General features: G+C 42.9%; 1 protein-coding gene across 6 annotated transcripts in view; it reads left to right on the top strand.

Annotated features, from left to right (window-relative positions):
- FAM76A (family with sequence similarity 76 member A) overlaps positions 1-19,932 on the top strand; it is a 37,156-nt gene extending 17,224 nt beyond the window's left edge. For 3 of the 6 annotated variants that reach the window (NM_001143913.2, NM_001143914.2, NM_001143915.2), the window contains 4 exons: positions 1,470-1,627; positions 12,011-12,146; positions 16,342-16,443; positions 17,311-19,932. In NM_001143913.2, coding sequence (NP_001137385.1) covers positions 1,470-1,627; positions 12,011-12,146; positions 16,342-16,443; positions 17,311-17,397 — 483 coding nt within the window. In that variant the 3' untranslated portion in view covers positions 17,398-19,932. Of the gene's footprint in view, positions 1-1,469; positions 1,628-5,883; positions 5,971-6,875; positions 8,363-12,010; positions 12,147-16,341; positions 16,444-17,310 lie in introns of those variants that run through there. The other 3 variants (NM_001143912.2, NM_152660.3, XM_017000543.3) reach the window with 2 other exon arrangements.
- Positions 19,933-20,939: the final 1,007 nt, after the last annotated feature.

The following is a 20,939-nucleotide window of genomic DNA, read 5'->3' on the forward strand; positions in this document are numbered from 1 at the left end:
CTGTCACCAAGACTGTAGTACAGTGGCATGCTTACAGCTCATGGCAGCCTTGACCTCCCAGGCTCAAGTGATTCTCCCACCTCAGCCTCCCTAGTAGCTGGGACTACAGGCATGCACCACCACACCTGGCTAATTTTTGTTGTGTTTCTTTTTGTAGGTGGGTTTTGCCACATTGCCCCGAGTAGTTTCGAACTCTTGGGCTCACGCAGTCCACCTGCCTCAGCTTCCTGAAGTGTACATATCTCAAAACATGTTTTACACAATAAATATATACAAATTTTGTCATTTTTTAAAAAATGGCCAGGTGCAGTGGCTCACGCCTGTAAGTTCAGCACTTTGGGAGGCCAAGACAGGAGATCACTTGAGCTCAGGAGTTCAAGACCAGCCTGGGCAACATGGTGAAACCCTGTCTCTACAAAAAAATACAAAAATTAGCCACACATGGTGGTGCACACCTGTAGTTCCAGCTATTCAGTAGGCTGAGGTGGGAGGATTGCCTGAGTCCAGGAGGTGGAGGTTGCAGTGAGCTGAGATCATACCACTGCTCTCCAGTCTGGGCAACAGAGCAAGACCCTGTTTGGGGAAAAAAAAAAAAACGAACACCTGATTAGGTGAGCATGGTGGCATGTACCTGTAGTCCTGGCTACTCAGGATGCTGAGGCAGGAGGATTGCTTGAGCCCAGAAGTTTAAGGTTGTAGTGTACTACAATCACACCACTGCATTCTAGTCTGGGTGAGTGAGATCCTATCACTAAAAAAAAAAAAATCCAAAAAACTGTAAATGTGAATTTTATAATTCATCTTCTGTCTTCTCTTCTCCCTGCTGAGTTTTCCTTAATGAGAACCGTGGTCTTGTGAGAATTTTACTCGTCTGTGTTTGCTAACTTGAAGAGAAACAAAACAAAAATACATAAAATTAGCAGCTGAAATTTATTTATTTAATTTAATTTATTTATTTATTTTGAGATGGAGTCACGCTCTGTTGCCAGGCTAGAGTGCCATGGCGCGATCTCGGCTCACCACAACCTCCGCCTCCTGGGTTCAAGCGATTCTTCTGCCTCAGCCTCCTGAGTAGCTGGGACTACAGGTGCACGACACTATGCCTGGCTAATTTTTGTATTTTTAGTAGAGACGGGGTTTCACCACGTTGGCCAGGATGGTCTCAATCTCCTGACCTCGTGATCTACCCACCTTGGCCTCCCAAAGTGCTGGGATTACAGGTATGAGCCACCGCGCCCGGCCCGGCAGCTGAAATTTATTAAGCAACTTTTATGTGCCTGGCACTATGTTAAGTGCTTTACCTACATTATGTCACTAGATCCTTGTAGCAGCCCCCTGTGACATGCCCAAAGTCACAGCACATAAGTTTCAGAACTGGGACTGAACCCAAAGATTCTAGCTCCCAATACCACGTTTGCAGCCACTGCGCTAAATTCCCTCTTCTTTATCTTTGTCTCCTTGTCTTTCAGGTAGATGGGAAATTGCTGTGCTGGCTGTGCACACTTTCATACAAACGGGTCCTTCAGAAGACCAAAGAGCAGAGGAAACACCTGAGTAGCTCTTCTCGTGCTGGCCACCAGGAGAAGGAGCAGTATAGTCGCCTGAGTGGTGGTGGCCATTATAACAGGTAACCTCAAGACACATGAGATGGGACTAGAAGTGCTGGTAGGTCAGATGTAATGCTCACATAACCATCATGGTACATACTACCATCTCATATACATTTTCTATATTCTCTGTAGGTACTAGTCTGTAGGAGGAAGCTCATTTGTCATATTTTATAGTTCATATATCTTCCAAGGACCAGAGAGATTTCCATAAAGTGTCAGGATTTCCTGACTTTGTATTGTGTCTGAAATGTTTGTGGAACTTCGTTTGTAGTGTTCTCACCCTTAGAGTGGATTCTCTCTCCAGAAAATTGGACATTTCACTTTCTGAGAGATACAGCTTTTTCAATGCATATTTAGCCAGGAGGCTGATAGATGTCCTAGGTTTGTCCTGGTGGCACCTAGTCAAAAAGATGTCTTTTCATTGTTGTTTTAAGCGTCCTTTCAGAGTATCTAGTATTGTTAACGGTTCTGGCTCTGGATGGAATGCTGGCTCTGCCAGGTTCTCTGCGGGGATCTTGGGCAAGTTTTCTCATCTGTAAAATGAGGGAAGTGATAGTATTACCTCAAGGGGTTGTTGTGAAGATAAATTAGATAGTACATGCACAGTGATTGTTTTTATAACTGGCATATAGAAAATATTCAATACATTTCAGGTTTTTTTGTTTGTTTGTTTTGTTATTACCATTATGACTTTGTTTAATCAGCAAGCATTAAGTATTCTCACGGGTCAGGGATGCTGGTGGGAATGAAGAGCTGAATACAAGTCATGCTGCTCTCCAAGAGTATGCAGTCTGGTAGGAAAGACAGACTTATAAACAGATGATCTTAGTATAATGTAACGGGTACCACAGTGGAAACGTGTCAAGAATGCAGACATGAGGGTAGTAATTAACTGCCTTGAGAAGTCAGGCAAGCAGGCTTGGAGAAGAGCTGGCATTAGAGCTAGATCTTAGGACGAGTTGGAATCCTCAGGGAAGGAATGGGCAGAGGCATTCTAGGCTGAGAGAATAGCATTTGCAAAGGCATGGAGGGCATGAGACCAAATGGAACCCTGGAAAATTGTAAGTCCTTTTATATTGCTGGAGCTTTTGGCTGGGAGCTGGGGAATGGAAGGAAAAAGGGGTCCTGCATCCTGGTAAGGAATGGAAACTTGATCCTGAGGTCAGGGTGTTAGTGGGAAGCTATTGAAGGGATCTATGCAGAGGAGAGACCAAATCTTCATTTAAAAAATTAACCCTGACTACTAGTGTGGAAAATGCATTGGAGGAAAAAGGGACTGGGGGCTAATTAAAGGCTTTTTTCTAAGAGTTTGGGTAAGAGATGTTAAAACAAGAACCTCACCTGAGGCAGTGGCAGTGGAAGATTGAAAAGGTTGATTCAGGAAGATGTTTTGGATGGAGAATTATGAGAAACAGATAATCTGATGAACAGACACATGGGCAAGAGCTGAGTAAGTAAAGGATAATTCCCGGGTTTCTTATTTGGGTGAATAGATAGAGCCTTAACTGAGAGAGAATGTAGGAAGGGGAGAAATGGGTCTAGTTTTGGAAAGTTGAGTTTGAAGCATGAAGAATTACTTTTAGGAGCTTAGCCTAGAACTTAGAAGAGAGGTTTGGACATGGGCCATAGGTAGCACATAAGAATCTAGCTGGGCGCGGTGGCTCACACCCGTAATCCCAGCACTTTGGGAGGCCAAGGCGGGCGCATCACAAGGTCAGGAGTTCGAGACCAGCCTGACCAACATGGTGAAACCCTGTTTCTACTAAAACAAAAAATACAAAAAGTGGCCAGGTGTGGTGTTGCATGCCTGTAATCCCAGCTACTCAGGAGGCTGAGGCAGGAGAATCGCTTGAACCCAGGAGGCGGAGGTTGCAGTAAGTTGAGATTGTGCCACCGCACTCCATGCTCGGTGACAGAGCGAGACTCTATCTCAAAAAGAAACAGCAACAATAAAAAGAATCACTGGGGGTAGGGATTATTTGAAAATGCAGATTCCGGCCAGATACATTGGCTGGCTTACACCCGTAAACCCAACGCTCTGGGAGGCCGAGGTGGGAGGGTTGCTTGATGCCAGGAGTTTGAAACTAGCAGGAACAACATAATGAGACCCCATCTCTACAAAAAACAATATTAGCCAGGTGTAGTGGCACACACCTGTAGTCCCAGCTACTTGGGTGGCTGAGATAGGAGGATCGCTTTAAGCCTTGGAGTTTGAGGCTTGCTGTGAGCCATGATTATGCCATTGCTCTCCAGCCTGGGCAACAGAGCAAGGCACTCTCTCTAAAATTAAAAAAAATTAAAAAGCAGATTCCTGCAGCAGTCCCACCCCAGAATTTAATTCAGTAGGACCTAGGATAGAGGCCAGGAATCTACATTATTTTATAAACATCCCAGATGATTCTAATGCAGGTGATATAGTTAACACCATTTCCAACCACTTATGATAGGTAGTTGTTAAAATCATGCTCTTAAATGATGTAATTCAGATTCAGGGCTGAGAATGGAACTCTACAAGCATTCAGTATTTAAGTTTTAGGAACTAAGAAGCAGCTGTCACAAAAGTGGGATGACCAAACGAGGAGAACATTTGAAGAAGGATGCAGTATCAGTGGTATCAAATGCTGAAGAGAGGTCAAGTAAGAAAAGGTCTGAGGAATCCTTTGAACTTGGCTGTTGAACACCCATCAAAGTGAAAGGATTGCATAGCAGAGACAGAGTTCCAGCTTTTGTTTCAAGACCAGTTTTGAGTGAACTTATTGGGGCTAAAACTGATTTTTAGTCTTGTAGTTTGACTGAGATACCAGTAGGTTAACACAAATATAGTGAAGAAGAACTAGACTGGCCGGGTGTGGTGGCTCACACCTGTAATCCCAGCACTTTGGGAGGCCGAGGCAGGTGGATCACTTGAGGTCAGGAGTTCGAGACTAGCTTGGCTCACATGGTGAAACCCGTCTCTACCAAAAAATACAAAATTAACTGGGTGTGGTGGCTGGCGCGCACCTGTAGTCCCAGCTATTCGGGAGGCTGAGGTGGAAGGATCACTTGAAGCCAGGAGGCGGAGGTTGCAGTGAACCAGGATCGTGCCACTGCACTCCAGCTTGGGTGACAGAGTGAGACTCCATCTCAAAAAAATAAAAATAAAAATAAAACTAGACTAGGAGTTCAAATATATTGACCTGGTTTCTAGTCCCAGCTTTACTTCTAACTAGCTATATGTGTCTTGGTAGATAAGTTGATCTTGAGCTATTTCTGTACAGTAGAAATAATAACTTATCTATACCTCACAGAATTATAAGATGCATGTGAGACAGTAAATGTAAAAGAAGTTTTTTTTTTTTTTTTTTTTTTTGAGACGGAGTCTTGCTCTGTCGCCCAGGCTGGAGTGCAGTGGCACAATCTCGGCTCACTGCAAGCTCTGCCTCCCGGGTTCACGCCATTCTCCTGCCTCAGCCTCCCAAGTAGCTGGGACTACAGGTGCCCGCTACCACACCCGGCTGATTTTTATATTTTTAGTAGAGACGGGGTTTTACAGTGTTAGCCAGGATGGTGTCGATCTCCTGACCTCGTGATCCATCCACCTCGGCCTCCCAAAGTGCTGGGATTACAGGCGTGAGCCACCGCGCCCAGCCAAAAGAACTTTTTAAACTAGAAGACAGATTATACTTCTTATTGAAGTTTTTTTTTTTTTTTTTTTTGAGGCGGAGTCTCGCCAGGCTGGAGTGCAGTGGATTGCTGGGAGTGCAGTGGATTGATCTCGGCTCACTGCAGGCTCCGCCCCCGGGGTTCAAGCCATTCTGCTGCCTCAGCCTCCTGCGTAGCTGGGACTACAGGCGCCCGCCACCTCGCCTGGCTAATTTTTTGTATTTTTAGTGGAGATGGGGTTTCACCGTGTTAGCCAGGATGGTCTCAATCTCCTGACCTCGTGATCCGCCTGCCTCAGCCTCCCAAAGTGCCGGGATTACAGGCGTGAGCCACCGCACCCGGCCTCTTATTGAAGTTTTATTGATATTTGTTCTCATGGTTATTAATAAAGCAGGTAATATTTAATTAATTAAGGCCAAGAATTTTTTTTTTTGATCCTGTGGAAACTAGCTACCCATCCATCCAGGCCTACAAAATCATCACCTTGGTAGATTCTTTATTAATCAAGAATTATTAGCTCTTGCATAGAAGAGCTGCTGTCTTAACATTGGTCTATTTGACAGACTTTCATTGTGATGTTTTGTTAATCTTTGATTTCTAATGTGTGTCTCTCTATTTTTGCCATTAAAAGCCAGAAAACACTTTCTACATCTTCAATTCAAAATGAAATCCCAAAGAAAAAGTCCAAGTTTGAGTCAATCACAACTAATGGAGACAGGTGAGCCAGTTGGAGTATGTGTGCGCACACATTTGAAATGCATACACAGTTCCTGAAACAGGAATACATTTAGGGTCTGCCTTGGAATTAGTCTGTGGCTGTCAGTGAATCTTATAAGTAAGCAGTACTGATATTTGTTTATAAATCTAATCTTGTCATTAAAAGATAAGAACTCATAACTTGATTTAATAGCAATTGAATTCTGCAGTCCACTAAATTATAATTTTTTTTAAGAGACAGTCTCACTCTGTCACTCAGGCTGGAGTGCAGTGGCGCGATTTTGGCTCACTGCAACTTCTGTCTCCTGGGTTCGAGCAATTCTCATGCCTCAGTCTCCCAAGTAGTTGGAATTACAGGGGCACCACCATGTCCAGCTAATTTTTGTACATTTAGTAGAGACAGGGTTTCACCATGTTGACTTGAACTCCTGGCCTCAAGTGACCTGCCCACCTCGGCCTCCCAAAGTGCGGGGATTACAGGCATGAGCCACCTTGCCCAGCTTCCCCTACACTAATTCTAAGAAGTCCAGAGCTGGATGCTTTTCTTTGTGATCTCTGCCCATATCTTCCTGCAGGCAGGAGAGGAGTTGATCTTGAGAGGTAAAGACAGGTTGGGATTAAGGCAATGTTGCCAAATTTGTGAGGATCCACACTTCCTTAACATTCAGAAAGCCAGCCCAGTGCAGATTCTGGATCAGGAGAGAATGAGATGCATTTGCATGTTTTTGTTTCATTTCAAGCCAGTCTAAATGCATACTTTTAGTCCTCACTTTCCTCTCCCCTCCTCAGTGGTACTTCCTCTTGTGAGCTGCTTGGGTCCTAATATCCAGAGTGTCCCATCTGTGTTGGTACAGTGGGCTGCTTCTCAACAAAGTGTTGGGACCAACCATTTTTCTGTTCCTCCAGGCCTGGGCATCCTGAAGTGAAACCACCTGACACACTTCCTGCGATCTTTGAAATCATCTCCATCCTGAAAACTCCTCCCATTCACAGTTCTCCTTCCCAGCCAGTAGTGGATATAGGAGCAGACCAGCATATAGGCTTACCAGGACTGATTTTGTTTATTTAGAGGGATACAAAACATTCTTTCCCATTGCCTTTTTTGTTAACTTGCTTTCAGACTCTACAAGGTTTTTAGAACTAGTTTCACTGATTTTTAAACTTCTTGAATTGAACCTTCTGGAATGCTTAATTTAGGTAGTCAGATTACATGGGGGGAGGAACCATAAAGATCATCTTTCTGGCCAGCTTTACTGTTCTCTCATAAGCTAGTCTGGCCATTGTGAAGAAAGGGATGTGGCACAGGTTGTCCATCACCTCTGCCAGGGCATGTGACCCTGCAAAAACTACTTCAAGGAATGAACTTTTTGAACACCCTGCTTTATAAAGGCCTAAGCCAAGACCTATGGCTTTAGATTCATTTCTGTTTTGTGCTCATTTATGATCCAGGCTGTGTTTGAATGACCTGGAAAAAGCTCGTTCGTATCTTCCAGTTTAACCAACCAGTCCTTAATGTTCACTTTCTATTAGCTTATTTTGTTCTTGAGATACTGCCACTATTCTTGCTGTCCATTGCTATGGATACACCAAGCTAAAAACTCAAGTTTTCTGTTCAGTGTTTTATTGCATCCAGTCATCAGCAATGCTGTTTTCCTCAAGTAGAAAGCTGATCCTTGACATAGGTACATGGTCTTTCATGGTGTCCTCCAGAAAAGATATTAAATGATCATTTTGACCAGGCACAGTCGTTCACACATGTAATCCCAGCACTTTGGGAGGCCAAGGCTGGTGAATCACCCAGGAGTTTGAGACCAGCCTGGGCAATATGATGAAACACCATCTCTAAAGATTAGCTGGGCATGGTGGCGTGTGCCTGTAATTCCAGCTACTCAGGAGGCTGTGGTGGGAGGATCACCTGAGCCTGGGGAAGTTGAGGCTGCAGTGAGCCATGATTGCGCCACTGCAGTTGAGCCTAGGCAGTGAGACTCTGTCTCAAAAAAAAAGGTAGGGGAGATAACTTTTTCCTTAAAATGACATGCTAATTTATTTTTCTAAGTAATTTATAATTTGAAAATTTGGAAATGTTTTCTGCTGTCACAAAAACTATTTTCATACCCATTTAAAATGTTCCTGCATTAGCATTTTTAACATTCTATTCTACTTGTTTGCATTTCTTTTTTTTAAATGTTCATAGCACAAGATAAATTCCACTTTGCTGTCCTCTTTACTTGTTGTGGGTTTTTTTTCCCTGCATTTACTTTGCTTTGAAAAAAGCATTCTGACATTTTTTTTGACAGTCCTTTTTTAATGTCATCCAAACCAAAATTTCACTGGCTACCCATTTCTTTTTTTTTTTTTTTCTTTTTTTTGAGACAGGGTCTCACCCTGTTGCCCAGGCTGGAATGCAGTGTCACGATCTTGGCTCACTGCAGCCTCGACCTCCTGGGCTCAGGTGATCCTTCCACCTAAGCCTCCCAAGTAGCTGGGACTATAGACATGCACCACCATGCCTGCCTAATTTTTGTATTTGTAGAAATAGGGTTTCACTATGTTACTCAGGCCAGTCCTGAACTCCTGGGTTCAAGTGATCCTCCTATGTTGGCCTCCCAAAGTGCTGGGATTACAGGAATGAGCCACTATGCCTGGCTTTTTTTGTTTTTTTTCTTTTGAGACAAGGTCTCACTGTGTCACCCAGGCTGGAGTGCAGTGGCGCAATTATGGCTCACTGCAGCCTCGACCTCCTGGACTCAAACGATCCTCCCACCCCAGCCTCCCAAGTAGCTGGGACTACAGGCACATGCCTCCACACTCGGCTAATTTTTTTGTGTAGATGGGGTCTCGAACTCCTGGCCTCAAGTGATCCTCCTGCTTTGGCCTCCCAACATGCTGGGATTATAGGCATGAGCCACCAGACCCAGCCCCTAAAATATTCATATACTTTTAAATTTATGCTCTTATTCTTTTATTTTTATTCCCCATGTTTTCTGCAAGTTGCTGCCTAATGGTTTTTCACTGACCTTTCTATACTACTACATTCTCTTCTCTTATTTAATATTGAGTTATGTTTGATTATTTTTCCTCCTTTTTGTTTATCCATTAGCCTTCTATTTTTTTTAGACAGAACACATTTTAGCTTTCAAAAATGGCTTTATAAGATGCTTTAGTCTTTTTTTTCTAAGTATCCTACAACATCCACAGTCTCTGTCTCAATATGTCCTAATTTGTTTGTTGAAATTATAACAAAAACTTTTCAATTTTAGGAAAATATAAGTTAATTTCTAGTTTTCCTTCCTCTAGAAAATACACTGGCTACTTTTTAATCATGTGTGTTTATTTTTCCATAGGCAATCAAAAAAGCAGCCACAACAGCTGGTGGCACTCAGGCACAGCTTGTGGTTTATTGTTTCTAAAGGACATTCTTTTTTTTAACTCGTAGTTTCATTTTATTCTCCGTCTGAAATGTGCCTGAAAGATTAATCTGTATAGCCTTTGAGGACTGACTCAGGACCAATATGTAGGGTTATAGAGAGGCAGGTTTTGGCTCAACCCAAGAAAATTGTTCTTACAGTACGAGCTTTTGTAAAAGACAATTTTTCTGGAGAAGTAGTAGTTCCCTGTCATTGGAGCCATTAGGAAAGAGACTGGTTTTTCTGCCTTGTTACCCTAGCCATCTTTTTTCATTTCTAGTAGTTCTTACTGAACCAGGAATTAGAGAGTTAGTGAGGGCTGGGCACGGTGGCTCACGCCTGTAATCCCAGCACTTTGGGAGGCCAAGGTGGGTGGATCACCTGAGGTCGGGAGTTCGAGACCAGCCTGACCAACATGGAGAAACCCCGTCTCTACTAAAAACACAAAAATTAGCCAGGCATGGTGGCGCACGCCTGTAATCCCAGCTACTTGAGAGGCTAAGGCGGGAGAATCACTTGAACCCAGGAGGCAGAGGTTGTGGTGAGCTGGAGGTTGTGGTGAGCCGAGATCATGCCATTGCACTCCAGCCTAGGCAACAAGAGTGAAACTCTGTCTCAAAAAGAAAAAAAGAGAAAAGAGAGAGTTAGTGAGGTCAGTCCCTAACACAGGATAGAAAGGATGGGTGTTGTCAACTATTTATTGGTATGGGGGGAATCCTCTCACAAGAAGCAGGAAGGGTAGGGCATTAAGAGGTTTGGGGACAACAAAAAGTTACTTACATTAGCTCATTACTCTAGTTATGGGTTTAAATAGACTCTATTCAGTTGAAGAAAGACAGGTCCTTAGCAGGTATTGAAACAGATGTGAGACTGCAGCTCTAAGGGTGCTTCCAGATCTGAAACTAGTGGAGACTGTAATAGGTCCTTTCAGTACTTTCTCCTGCACACCTTGTTTTATGATTTTGCATTTATTTTTGTTATGCAGTAATTCCATCCATTCATTAGTTATGAGAGCATTGATTCATTCTTCCTCTGACAGTCTTCTCATATGCTTCATGTAAACTGAGAGGAGGGTAGGAATATTCTTGTCGATTATTTATGTCTTCCAGTCCTAGCCATAGAAATGTTTGACTTGGTAACTGTGAGGTAGTTTGTCCACTGGTTAGGCTTGCTATTTGGAGTTTCTTCCTGTGTAGAGAAATGTTGGCTATTAGATGTGGTTTAGGATATAAGAACAGTGAGTCGTTACTATATATAGGGAGTTGAGAATGAGTATTCCAGTGTCTGCTTAGGAAAAACAGGTTTGTGTTTTACTTTAAAGATTGTCCTGGGAAAAGTAAAGAGCGTTCTTTGAGAACTCTCTAGAGAACAGGATTTGACCCTCTTGGCAGTGATTCCTTAACTTGCTTTGAGTCTGAGGCACTTCTGACTGGCCATTGAAAGCTATGGATCCTCACTCTAAAAACCACCCATTATATGTGTAGACAAGATTGTACATATAATTTTGGGGTTTTGCAGATTTCCTGAAACTATCCCTTCTTTTTTTTTTTTTTTTTTTTTTTTGAGACGGAGTTTCGCTCTTGTTGCCCAGGCTGGAGTGCAATGGCGCAATCTTGGCTCACTGCAACCTCCGCCTCCCAGGTTCAAGCAATTGTCCTGTCTCAGCCTCCCAAGTAGCTGGGATTACAGGCATGCACCACCACGGCCAGCTAATTTTTTATTTTTAGTAGAGATGAGGTTTCTCCATGTTGGTCAGGCTGGTCTTGAACTCCTGACCTCAGGTGATCCGCCTGCCTTGGCCTCCCAAAGTGCTGGGATTATAGGCGTGAGCCACCGCGCCCGGCCTAAAACTGCCCCTTCTTAAGAGGCTCTGCTAAAAGGACATGGAGTCCATCTGGCACTTTGACAAAATAGAGTGCTCTAATGCTGTTATTGGGAGGAATCTGTTAAAAGCCCAAGTTGTTGTGTGACTCTGGAGTTTGCCACCTCTTTGTTCCGTTACTAAAGCAATGTTACAGAATTCCTGATATTGGAAATGACAATCTGCAGGCCATTTGTAGTGTAGGGGAAGCTGGCTTCATTCCTGTTTCATCTTTTTTGAAAAAGAACTGACTGCTCCTGGGTGGGAATCCAGCAGCTTCTCGGCAGATACACTGACTGCATTGCGGTGCTTTGGGACAGAAGACAAGGACCTGAAAGATGAGCTCTGAGGGAAGCATTAAAGAAAAATGCATGAGCTCACAGTTTATAATTTATCTGGAATTCTAAGGAATTTATCTAATCACAAAAATTAGGATGGTTTTTCTAGTACATCACTGGGGATCTTTAAGGAACCTGAAACAGTATCCTTAGCTCTTGGGATGTGGCATTTATTTCCGTCCTAAATGTGAGAGAAGATGCTGCAGGGATGCTGCCAGGTTGTGGCTTTGGTTCGTAGAGTTATCTGATGGCCACCTTACCTCTGCAGTTCAGCTCAGCAAGTGCCGTTGAGCCCAGCATGTGTGGTGCAATGTGCTTGATGCTAGGATTCCTGCCCTTTAGGAGCTTGCAGACAAGTGGTCTAGGATGCATCCTCAGGTAGAGAAAAGTTTATCCATCCAAGTTAAAATATTTTCCCCTGATTTTTAAATTTAGCTTCTCCCCAGACCTGGCTCTGGACTCACCAGGCACTGACCACTTTGTCATCATTGCCCAACTGAAGGAAGAAGTGGCTACCCTGAAGAAGATGTTGCATCAAAAGGATCAAATGATTTTAGAGAAAGAGAAGAAGGTATGGTTTAGTTAATTCCTCTCTGACCAGAATGATGCGAGGGTGAGATATGTGGTATGGGACATGATAATAACCCTTTTTAACTGATGTTTGTTGAGAGCCTATGTCAAGGTTGGGATATCCTGGGGAGAGGCTGGCTGTCTGCCAAGATGACTTTTGGGATGGCATTACTCCAGTCAGTTGGGCTCAAAAAACTGATTTTTCTCAGCACTTGCAGCTTCCACTTCTCAAAGAGGACATTTTGTTTTTTGTTTTGTTTTTGAGACAGGGTCTCAGCTGTGTCACCCTGGCTGGAGTGCAGTGGCACAATCATGGCTACTGCAGCCTCTAACTTCCAGTCTCAGGCAATCCTCCCATCTCAGCCCACTTAGTAGCTTGGACTACAGGCATGTGCCACTGTACCCGGCCAATTTTTAAAATTTTTTGTAGAGACATGGTCTTATTATGTTGCCCAGACTGGTCTTGAACTCCTGGTCTTAAGTGATCCTTCCATTTTAGCCTCCCAAAGTGCTAGGATTACAAATGTGAGCCATTGCCCCTGGCCTCAGAGAGGACATTTGTTAACTGAGCTTACAGAGACAATGTATAAAAAAACCAGTGTTCACATCTCAGTTCACAGCGGAGCATGTAACAAACAGTACACAGTTCTTGGCATGAGCTACCTGGAGAGGCTGTAATCAGAAGGTGCTGAATAAGCATAGAGTTGGGACACGAGGAGGTAGTTATGTAACTGGAATGTTCAGTGCTGTCCGGCTAAAAGAACCTAATGTCTCTTTCTCTTCTCATGGGGATGGCCATGTCTGTGGGACAATAATACTCAAAGTTCATGGGACATTTCTTCCTCTTCCCTGAACAGCGTTCATGTGGGCCTTCTGCCATGACTCTTATGTCACTGTGCTTCCACTGCTGACAACTCTTACTAAGTGACCCATCTTTAATATGTTAATATTTTAATATCTTAGTTTATCTTCAGTATTAATACTCTTTTTTTTCTTTTTTTGTTTTTTGAGACAGAGTCTCTGTCGCCCAGGCTCACTGCAACCTCTGCCTCCTGAGTTCAAGCGATTCTCCTACCTCAACCTCTCAAGTAGCTGGGATTACAGGTGCCTGCCACCATGCCTGGCTAATTTTTCTATTTTCAGTAGAGATGGGGTTTCGCCATGTTGGACAGGCTGGTCTCGAACTCCTCATCTGAAGTGATCTGCCTGCCTCATCTTCCCAAAGTGTTGGGATTACAGGTGTGAGCCACTGTGCCCGGCCTCAGTGTTAATATTTTATTTTCACATCAGAATATCTTCTATCTTATATTTCTAATATCTTCACATTAATATCTTCAGAATAAGACCAGTCTTATTATGGTCTGAAGTTGTCTTCCATTTTTACATTCTTACTCTGATTCATGTCTGTTATCTTGTTTTCAGGTTTTCTAAATAGTATCTCATTTTTAGGCTGGGCACACTGGCTCACACCTGTAATCCCAACACTTTGGGAGGCTGAAGCAGGCAGATTGCTTGAGCCCAGGAATTCAAGACCAGCCTGGGCCATTGGTGAAACCTCATCTCTGCAAAAAATACAAAAATTAGCAGGGCTTGATGGTGTGCACCTATGGTCCCAGCTACTTGGGAGGCTAAGGTGGGAGGATCACCTTAGCCTGGGAGGTCAAGGCTGTGGTGAGCAGTGATCATACCACTGCACTCCAGCCTGTGGGTGACAGAGCCAGACCCTGTCTCCAAAAACAAACAAAAAAGAATATCTCATTTTGCCTTAATATTATAATAATAATAGCTAACTTTTATTGGATGCTAACTTCGTGCCTAGCTCTGTTTTAAGTGCTTTATATGTATTAACTCATTTATTCTTTTTTTTTTTTTTTTTTTTTTTTTGAGACAGAGTCTTGCTCTGTCACCCAGGCTGGAGTGCAGTGGTGCAATAGTTCACTGCAACCTCTGACTCCTGGGTTTAAGTGATTCTTGTGCCTCAGCCTCCTGAATAGCTAGCTGGGACTACAGGCGTGCACCACCACACCTGGCTGATTTTTGTTTTTGTTTTTGATTGAGACAGGGTCTTGCTCTGTCACCCAAGCTGGAGTGCAGTGGTGCAATCTCTGCTCACTGCAACCTCTGCCTCCCTGGGTTCAAGTGATTCTCCTGCCTCAGCCTCCCGAGTAGCTCGGATTACAGGCATGTGGCACCACAGCCAGCTAATTTTTGTATTTTTCATAGAGATGGGGGTCTCACCATGTTGGCCGGGCTGGTCTTGAACTCCTGACCTCAAGTGACCCGCCCACCTCGGCCTCCCAAAGTGCTGGGATTACAGGCATGAGCTACCATGCCTGGCCCATTTATTCTTATAAAAAGCCTTTGAGGCCGGGCTTGGTGGCTCATGCCTGTAATCCCACCATTTTGGGAGGCCAAGGCGGGTGGATCACGAGGGCAGGAGATCAAGACCATCCTGGCTAACACGGTGAAACCCTGTCTCTACTAAAAATACAAAAAAATTAGCTGGGCGTGGTGGTGGGCGCCTGTAGTCCCAGCTACTCGGGAGGCTGAGGCAGGAGAATGGCGTGAACCGGTGAGGCGGAGCTTGCTGTGAGCCAAGATCGTGCCACTGCACTCCAGCCTGGGCTACAGAGCAAGACTCCATCTCAAAAAAAAAAAAAAGCCTTTGAGGTGGGAATTGTTACAATCATTTCATAGATGAAGAATGCCTCCAGTATTTTTCTTCTTAGGGGTTTCTGATCTCCCCTGGCTCTTTATGTTGTTTTCTGCCAAGTTCAGAATGCTGTGATTCATTCTGAATAGCTAAGACATTGATGTAAATTCCTTACTTGCATTCATCTAATTTCTACCTCATTTTACAGATGAGGAAACAGACCCGAAGAGGTTAATATGTCCAAACCACACAGCTAGTAAATGGCGGAACAAGGGACTGGAAGTCTTTCTGACTCTACTGTTCTTTCTACTGTGCTATGCTTTCTCCTGCTAGGAAGGTGGAAATTCATGGGAAGAGATCTGTGTTCTATCCACATAACTACATGACTGTCAAGTGAAAATGGCCCAAGTATATTCTCTCCATGGACTAGATCAGAATGGCACATAAAAGGATTTTTGTAAAACAGGGACAAGATGAACACTTGTTTCTACTGCTTTGCAGAGATAGTTTTTATTTATTTATTATTTTTATTTTTTTGAGACAGGGTCTTGCTCTGTTGCCCAGGCTGTTGGGCAGTGGTGCAGTCTCAGCTCACTGTAAACTCAACCTCCCTGGCTCAAGCGATCCTCCCACCTCCGTCCTCTAAATAGCTGGGACTGCAGGCGCACACCACCACACCCAGCTATTTTAATTTTCGTTTTTTTTTTTTTTTTTTTTGTAGACATGGGGTTTCACCATGTTGCCCATGTTGGTCTCAAACTCCTGAGCTCAAGTATTCCGCCCTTTTGGCCTCCCAAAGTGCTGGGATTACAGGCATGAGCCACCACTCCTGGCCCAGAGTTAGGGTTTTTAAAGGAGCAAAAGCAGATTGTTTCCCAAAGCTTTCAGGAAGCTTGGAATACAGGCTCTTTAGCATAATGCCTGCCCATCTCTCCAACCTCATCAGCCATTCAAATAATCTCTGTTATCTCACATTTATCTGCCTGTGCCTATACTGTTCTCTGCTTGGTTGCCCTCCTGCTCACCTTATGTGCCTATTGTTAATACATCTCAAAGCTCAGCTCACACATCACCTCTGATTTAGAATTTCCTTGAAGAGCAGTCAACAGAAGGGGGTCTGGGGTTTGAAATCTAGCTCTGCCCCTTGCTAACTCTGTATATGATCTTGGCCACATTCCTTAACCCTTTCTAAAGATCAGTTTTCTCCTCTATAAAATGGGACTACTACTCTCACAATGTTATCATAAAGATCTACTGAAGTAATATAATCATATAATCAGTTTTTCTGCAACATAGTAAAAGTTCAGTAATTGGTAGCAACTATTATTCTCAAATATTCAGAAATGTTAGTTCAGGACTTTGTGTAATTTTCAGGAAAGCTTTAGAGAAAAAGAGGGTGTGGAATTCCCTGGTTTTGATTTAGATACGGATCTGCAGGAGAGCCCTGGATTTCATTAATTTGGGTGACCATTTAGCTCTCTGAAAGCAATTTTTTTTTATTGCACAGAAATTTCTTCTGGTTATTCTGCCTTGTTTCCCTCAGATTACAGAGTTGAAGGCTGATTTTCAGTACCAGGAATCGCAGATGAGAGCCAAAATGAACCAGATGGAGAAAACCCACAAAGAAGTCACAGAACAACTGCAGGTGACTGACTCTGCTTATTTTATGTGCTAAAATTGTGTACCTACCTGGTATACCTAGCTGATTGTATTTTAAGTGATCATCTCTTAGATTTCTTTTTTTTCTCAAAGTATTAACAAATCATGTTAATCCCCCTTTTAGGTTTTTTTTTTTTGTTTTTTTTTTGAGACAGGTTCTCTGTCGCCTAGGCTGGAGGGCAGTGGCACGATCATGGCTTACTGCAGCCTCAACCTCCCAGGCTCAGGTGATCCTCCCACCTCACCCTTCCAAGTAGCGAAGACCACAGCCATATACCACCATACCCCACTAATTTATTTTTTAATTTTTTTGTAGAGATGGGCTCTCGCTATATTGCCTGGGCTAGTCTTGAACTCCTGGCTTCAAGCAATCCTCCCACCTCAACCTCACAAAGTGCTAGGATTACAGGCGTGAGCCACCATGCCCAGCCTGTAGATACTTTGTATTGTTTCACTCTTGGATGTGTTCTGATCTTTTCCCCTCAAAAACAGTAGAATTATTAAGTATGTTCTTTGATTTTTGAATAAACCAGATGTGATTCCAGATGTCTGAATTATAGATTCTGTTTATCCAGCTCATGAAGTCACTTCACAGTTTGTATTGCATAAAGCATCCCTTTGTAACAGTGGGTCCCAAGAGATTGAGGTACACTGATTAACCTCTGGCAAATACTTTTTTCTCCTGAACCAAGTTTCAAGCCCTAGAGCTTCCTGTTGTTTTCCACCTCTAGAATTGTTCATCTCTTTCTGACCCTCCACATTGTCTGCCTTAGCATCTGCACTTACTCTGCATGAAAAATAGCTTATATCCTGTTTGAAACATCCTTCTTGCACTGATTTTTTTTTTCTTTAGGCCAAAAACCGAGAGCTCCTGAAGCAGGCAGCTGCTTTGTCCAAGAGCAAGAAGTCAGAGAAGTCAGGAGCTATAACCTCTCCATGACAGACCTCAAGGAGGCTCCCTAGCAACAGCAAATGGAGTTGTCCAGGGTTAGGGTTGGAGACCTGGCTGTTCTGTGGGAATTGCAAGCTTTCTTAAGAAATCTCTATTTTATTACAGTTATCCTTCTTTGTGCGATTGCAGTGGGCTGAATGGAAACACCTGGTTTGTGCTGTGTTAGACTGCATGCTTGAGTGTTTGGGATTTCAAGCTCGCTCTCTTTCTCTCACTATTAGGACTTTTCTTTTTCTTCTTCCTCTTCTCTCTATTTTGGTTCTATTCTTTTTTTTTCTTTTTTCTTTTTTTTTTTTTTTTTTTTTTTGTGGTGGTCACTGCTCAGTGTAATGTGCAGAATGATTTGTTTTTTGTTTTTTTTTTTTTTTTTGGTCCTTCATTGCATCCTGCCATACCCATGAGCAAACAGTTTGGCATTAATTATATATCACTGCCACCCTCTGAACTTTGAAAACTGCCATCTTCAGACTTGGTATAATGGAAGAGGCTTTCTCTCTCCAATAAACCTTTTGCTTCAGGGTATACTCTTCGGTTTTTTTCCAGATGTATTATGTATGAACTTTGTACTATGTATAGCCAGAGTTTTATTTATTTTTTAAAAAAGAAACTTTTTCTTGATAAAGGAATAATGGTGGTCTAGCTAGTTCTTGTAAAAGTGATGCCTCTTGAAAAAAAAACAGTCCTATTCACTAGCTTTTAGTAAAAGAATCAGATCTTTTCTTTCTTGTTACCTTGGAGTCTTAAAAACTGATTGCTAAGGTGAAACAATTCAATGCATAAGTATGGAGCTAAGTGCCTTTTGGAGGATTTCTTGGAAGAGCATTTATGGAGATACTTAAGGGAGGTAGCAAAGATTTGAACCGTCTGTCTTTTTAAGTAAGGGCAGAAAGCAAGGTTGTCCAGGTTGTACTGGACACTTCTCTCCCCACCCCTTTCCTGATTGTTTTATGTGATTGATTTTAAATTCTCACACTGCCACTTCTTTAAAAAATAAAATCCTTTATTTGCTTATATCAGTTGTCATACTGGGCTGCTGTCAGAGAATGTTTTTTTACATGAATGAACAGATTAAAAATGGAATAATATGGTCGGGTGCGGTGGCTCACGCCTGTAATACCAGCAATTTGGGAGGCCAAGGCGGGTGGATCATTTGAGGTTAGGAGTTTGAGACCATCCTGGCCAACATGGTAAAACCCCATCTGTACTAAAAAAATACAAAAATTAGCCGGGCCTGGTGGCATGCACCTGTAATCCCAGCTACCCAGGAGGCTGAGGCAGGAGAACTGCTCGAATCCCGGGAGGCAGAGGTTGCAATGAGCTGAAATCGCAACACTGCACTGCAGCCTGGGCAATGGAGTGAGACTCCGTCTCAAAAAAAAAAAAAAAAGGAATAATATTTGAACTACAGAGCATTTTTGGGGTCAGCATGAGCTGCTCTAGTAAGGACTCTTGAGTCTGGGAAAAGTGGTATCACTATACCTTCTCCCCACTCCTCACCCACCCGAGCCCATACACTCCCTGCTTTTCATGGATATGTATTGAAAACAGGTGCTTCTCAGAAGCACTTTGCCTCAACCAGAGTTATGTATGCCCTGCCTATCTTCCCTTCTTAACCCTGTAGGAATATGGATTTACTTTTCCAGGAAAGGGGATAGATTTACATTTCTAGGCATACTCTCAGGTCCTCTATGTGATGTTTGTGAAAGGAATTAGGGTGTGTCATGTGTGCCATGAAACAACAAAACCAACTACCCTAGAATCATTTATGCAGGGGGTACTAGAGTTAGAAATAATAATGAGGGCAGATAACATTTGTACCTCAGTCTACCAAAAAATTATAGTACTAAATTTAACTTCTAGGCGTTTCCTGGAAGCAGATGCTCTATAATTTGTGATAGCATTCTCATAAATGGAGTCCTACACATAATTGGACAGAGATGTGGAAATGGTGGTTTCCTTCTGATAAGGGATACAGTGGACCATGTCGCTTATATATCACCCTACTAGGGGATATAATTTTCCCTTCTAAGCAAGGGAAATGGCAGTGCTAAATAGTTTTGTAAAGTTTTTGAATGAGAAGCTTTTAGGTAAAGATAAACTGTCATAATATTTTTCAGATGCATTTGCATTGACTATGGGAGAAAAATTAGGGGGAAATGACAGTCATGGTGTTTTTTTTTAATTTTAAGGACTGAAATTCTGTTACATGATGTATGACAATATAAAAACATACTTAGTTTTATACTAAATCTTTTTTTAAGGTCTTGGCATTTAATATAAAGCAAATTCACACGTTTTCTAACTTTCCATAAGTTCCAAAAAGGGAAAGAAGAAACCTCAGTCTTGAAATTTTGATTTTTAAAAATCATGACACTGTTTTACCATGAAATTGAGTAGCTAACTTTTGGTAACACCTTTTGTTTCTTTGTATGTTTGTAATAATGGACATTTTAAAACACAGGAATGTTTTGGTTTGTACAGACTTTGACAAATGTGTGTTAATAAAAATTCATATTGACTCAAGTGTAATTGTTGGATTTTGTTTTTATTTCTTGCTGTTTACCAGTAGACATACCCCGTTATCCCCTTCAGCCCTTCAGCCTAGAAAAGTTTGTCTTGCTTATAGACTTAAAAAATTAAAAGCCTAACTGCTAATTGGGAATTTCCTGTCCATTAGAGAATAAACTCTTTCTTTCTCTCTTCTATGACTGTTTTGAGACAGAGTCTCACTCAGTCATCCAGGCTGGAGTACAGTGGCAAGTAGATCACTGCAGCCCCGACTTCCTGGGGATTCTCCCACCTCAGCCTCCCAAGTAGCTGGGACTACAGATGCACGCCACCATACCCAGCTAATTTTTGTATTTTTTGTGAAGATAGGGTTTTGCCATCCAGGCTGGTCTCCAACTCCTGGACTCAAGCCATCCACCCACCTCATCAGCCTCCCAAAGTGCTAGGATTACAGGCATGAGCTACCACACCCAGCCTCTTGGTGATTCTGTTTACCCAGTGTAAGTGCTCATGTTGTGATAGGCACTGTGCTAGGCAGCGCGGTTACAGCAGTGACAAAACCAAGTTATTGTACTTATGGGGCTTCCATTTAGTGGAATATTGGACACCACCACACCACCATTGTTCCTTGATTTAAAAAAAACTTTTTTTTTTTTTAATGGAGTCATGCTCTGTCACCCAGGCTGGAGTGCAGTGGCATGATCTCGGCTCACTGCAACCTCTGCCTTCTGGGATCAAGTGATTCTCCAGCCTCAGCCTCCCAAGTAGCTGGAACTACAGGTGGCGCACCAACACATTCAGCTAATTTTTTTGTATTTTTAGTAGAGACGGGATTTCACCATGGTGGCCAGGCTGGTGTCGAACTCCTGACCTCAGGTAATACGCCCGCCTCAGCCTCCCAAAGTGCTGGGATTACAGGTGTGAGCCACTGTGCCTGGCCAAAAAAAATTTTTTGAGACAGTCTCTGTCACTTAGGCCAGAGTACAGTGGTGCGATCTCAGCTCACTGCCCCTTTGACCTCC

Source organism: Homo sapiens, chromosome 1 (genome assembly GCF_000001405.40).
Source record: "Homo sapiens chromosome 1, GRCh38.p14 Primary Assembly".
NCBI classification, from domain to species: Eukaryota; Metazoa; Chordata; class Mammalia; order Primates; family Hominidae; genus Homo; species Homo sapiens.